Source organism: Homo sapiens, chromosome 22, assembly GCF_000001405.40.
Source record: "Homo sapiens chromosome 22, GRCh38.p14 Primary Assembly".
NCBI lineage: Eukaryota > Metazoa > Chordata > Mammalia > Primates > Hominidae > Homo > Homo sapiens.
Window position 1 is genome coordinate 37,162,410 of NC_000022.11, and position 4,349 is coordinate 37,166,758.

General features: G+C 56.6%; 1 protein-coding gene across 2 annotated transcripts in view; it reads right to left on the reverse strand.

The window, feature by feature from the left end:
- IL2RB (interleukin 2 receptor subunit beta) overlaps positions 1-4,349 on the reverse strand; it is a 49,281-nt gene that overhangs the window by 36,572 nt on the left and 8,360 nt on the right. The window lies entirely within an intron of this gene.

Genomic DNA, 4,349 nt, shown 5'->3' on the forward strand with positions numbered 1-4,349 from the left:
CGACTTGCTGGAAGGCTACCTAAATGCGCACTTGGAAGGCCTGGTGAGGCCCACGCACACACCAGTTGGCTGGCTGACCTTGAAGCTGTCTTGCTAACTGGTTTATACTTCGGGTGACTGGTGAATAAAGAGGCTGCCAGAGCTTTCAGAACCAGCAGGGGCCCCCATGTTTGGTGAGTGGCTGGTTTCACTTTCAAAGTGAGTTAGAGACAGTCCCACTGTGAAGCCTCTACCACACGGAGTCACAAACCCATTCTGGTTAGTCTGAATCAGGTCAGGCACAGGCTCTGTTTACCAAATCCCTGACCCCCACCCCACCCCTCTACCCCAGATCAGAGATCCTACCACATGCCAGGGGTACTGGGGAAGAGGCAGGGGATTGTGAGGGCCAAAGGCTACCTGTCTGATTGACCGCATCCTACCCCTGCCTGCCTAGTTCTATACACCTCCTCACACTCTGCCCAGCAGCCAAACCACCAACACCCACACCCCAGCACCAGACCATGAGATGAGAACACTCATTTCTTCCCTTCGGTTCCACTTCATTTCAGTCCCACCCCTGTCCCCAGGCCAGAGGCTTCTCCCCAGGGGCATGAGCACTGGACTGAGGGTTTGGAGACCTAAGTTTGAGCCCCAGCAGTGCCTCCAACTCACTAGGGTCGCTCCCTGCAGTCATCACTGCTCTGGAGCTACAGACCGCAGGAACAGGCTGTAGCTAACCTGAGCCAAACAGAACTAGTTAGAGGATCTGGAGTGGTTCTCAGGTTCTGGAGGGAGCTGAAGACCCAGACCTCAGGGACGGGCAGACTCCAGACCAGCCGCACCTGCAGCTGAGTGTGGTCCAGCTGCAGAGACCCCTTTGAGGCACCAACCTCCAGCTGTTTGCTGGCTTCATTCATTAGAATTCAAAGAGTCTCATTGGCTAAGATCACGTCAAATGCCCATCCTCCAGCTGGAAAGGGTGGGGTACTTTGATTGAGAGTTCAACCAAGACTTCACCAAATGCAGGAAGGTAGATACCCCAAAGAGAAATGGGGGGGCCGCTTCTAGAAGCAGGAGGCCTGATGCCTACTGAGCAAGCAGGAACCAAAGATGCCCCGCAAGGACTGGCTTGGGTTGGATGATCCCAGAAGCTCTTCCAGGAAAGTCATCCTCTGATTGGAGGAATCCAAACTGGGCACCTTGCCTCCCTCAAGGGAGGAGGGACTCTTCTCAGCCCTTGGGAGGGGCTCCTGGCATGAGGATGCCTTATACCCCCGCCCTGAGGCCCCCCATTCGGGGGAAAGCCAGGAAGGGTCGGGGCTGCTACCTGAGTGGAGCAGAGGGATGCTCGTCTCCACCACCCACATGGGCTTGAGCCTGTGACCTTGATTTCATGGGCCTCCGGGAACTCATGAGCAAACCTGAAAGCAGCAGGGGACGAAGGGCCCCAGGCTTGTCACCCTCTTACTGGGCCAGGCTGGAGGAAACTGAGACCAGCTCATTCCTCAGTGCGTGGAGCTGCTCTGTGAGAAACGGCCCCAAAGTGGAGCTCAGGTGGCAGCCAGCAGCACAGGCCGAGAGTGCCATGGCTGCTGCTCATGCACGAAGGTGCTTTGCTGTTCCCACACCATTTCTGTGGGTTGCACATGGGACCTCTGGAAACAGCCCAGAGGCCATCACCTGTATCACACGTGAGGGTGCGTGAGGAGAGGCGGCCTGCAGAGCAGAGCGGAAAGCAACAGTCAGCCATGTAGCCTGTCAACACAGGGTTCTCCCTCTGCGCTCCCTGCCCCTCAGCCCCACTACTTCACCCCCAACCTCCTCCACCTCTCCAAAAGTACCCGAGAACCCCAGCCTCACTCCTCCCTAAGCCAGGCGTCAGGGCCCAGAAGAGACCTGGCCAGTGCACAAGGGGTCAGAGGAGGGGAGCAGAGTGAGGAGGGGGCACGGGGGTGCTTTGATCGGGAGGATGTGGTCAGCGGCTTCAGGCCTGTGGTTTGAGCCCAGAGGTGCTGCTGACACTCTGGCTGAAGTCATCTGTGCCGTTCCTGCATGAAGCAGTGTGGCAGGAGTGAGGGGTGAGGGGCCGGGTGGTGGGGGTGGTGGGCAGGGGGGATGGTGGAAGCTGCAAGATGTGTGGTTTAAGTTGTGAAGCTCACACCAAGCCTGGACATTCAGGTGAGTGGGCCGGGCAAGCCACCTCTCCCCACTGGGCCTTCTTCCTGTTTCTCTCTCGCTTGAAATCACCTCCTGTCTGTCCCTTCTCAGGCCCAGAATGCAGACCACCAAGGAGGCTCTGAACAGCCCACCTCAGAGACACCAGAGGCTCCAGCATCACCGAGGCTCCAGAGAGCAGAGGGCCACCAGGAATGCAGAGGGCAGAATGCTACAGAGCAGAAAGTTCTAGAAGCATAGCCTTCCCAGGGAGGTACTAGGTAACTCCTCTAGCCCTTACTACGCACCAGGCCCTATTCTAAGTACACATGTTGATTCCCGACTATGCTGAAGGCAGTTTCAGGTTCAAGAGCATCAGCATTCCCTGAGAGCTGGTCAGAAATGCAGATGCTCAGGCCCCAGCCCAGCCCTCCCGAGCCAGAATCTGTATTTTCACCACGTCCCCAAGCAACTCGAGTGTGCACAGAAGTTTGAGAGGCCGCATGTTACCTCAGTGAATCCTGACAACAGCACTTGCAGACTAGGACTCTTATCCTATTTTGCAGATGAAAAAACTGAGGCACGGGGAGGTTAAATAACTCGCCCAGGGCCGCACACAGGTAGGTGATAAGTGTCAGAGATGGGATGTGGGCCTGGGCCATCTGGCTCCTAAGCACATGCTCCTAACTACCAGGCTGCCGCCACCTTTGGAAGAAGAGAGCCATGAGAATTTGAGCTATGGCTGGCCGCATCTGTGCCTGCTCTGGCCGTGTGCCTCTGGCCTTCCAGAACCCACTCTGTCCTTCCTAATGTTTCTCTGACCGTGGCCTCTCCAGGGAGAGTCTGAATCATGATTTTCCCAGGCATGGAAGGTAGGAACACCTGCCAGTCAGCATGGAGCGTTTGTCAAGCGTCTGTATTATCCTGGCTCAGGGCTGGGAGTTATAGCAGCCACAAAAGATGCCCAAGACTCCACCCAGCCCTCAAGGAGCCCAGAGTTTAGCTGCAGGGACAGGAAATAGGCATGGGAACGAATGCAATATAATCACAGCTAAAGTTTGTATGAGATGTGCAGATGCTCCTGGGCAGCTGCCTCTTCAGGGCAGGCTTCATGGAGAAGAGGGCTTTTTTTAAAAATTTAATTTAATTTAATTTAATTTAATTTTATTATTGTTTGTGGGGTTGGGGGAGGAGGGGAGAAGAGGGCTTTGAGCCAGGCCTACCCAGGGCAAGTGCCAGAAGGACAGAGGCGGGGAGGACACAGGTGCAGACCGGCCTAAAGCAGACACTTGGAGCTGAAAACATCCTGAATCCAACCGTCCACAACTCCCCTCTACAGCATCTCCTCAAGAGGGCCAGACTCCCCTGAATTCTCCCTACGGCAAGGAAGTCATTCCTCGCCAGGGGAGCGAGATCATGGCCTGTCTGGTGTGCACGTGTGTGTGTCTTTGCCACAGGTGTGTTCTTTCCAGAACTCCTGTGAACAGGTGGGCCTCCTTTGTGCAAACCTGAGCCATGCACATCCAGCTCAGCTGATAGCTGGGCCAGGAGAGGTGACCTCACCGCCCATGCTCAAGGTCTCTCTGTTGCACTGGACAGGGCCCCTCCAGCCTTAGGCCCTTGAAGTCCTGGCTCCTTGGAAATGCCCCTGCTACTGGGGGGACCCTCAACTGCACCAAAGGACCGCAATGGAAAGGGGGCACTCAGCGCCAGAGCCTCCCCGCCCCCCCACCTCCTGCCGAGAGGAAGCCCAAAACTGGCACATCCACACACACAGCCACACGCCCCCTTTGAAGGCACTGCACCGCTGCGTGTGTTGTACACGGAGCCTGCGCTTCCTGGGCCAGAAGTGAAGCTAAGATGCACTCCACGCATTCAACCGTTGAACCCTCATTGCAGCCACCAGAGTTCTGTGCCACCCCTGCTCCGTTCCCGCGGTGGAGGGAGGACGCCTAGGCCTTGGGAGGGATCGGGAGCGCGTAGAGTGACACCCTGGGCTCCACATCCACGACACCTTCTCCCCCATCTGGACTGCCCAACTACTTCATGCCTACCTCGGGACTTTGCATGCAAAAGGCGCTCAATCATCCCTTCAAGAATAATTGAGTTAGAAAACAGCAGGGCACAATGACAGGTGGGCCCAGAAGTTGCCACCAGAGGGCAGTGCGCGCACCTCCCCAGCCTCCTCGAGACTTGTGCTGCAGGAGGGAGGT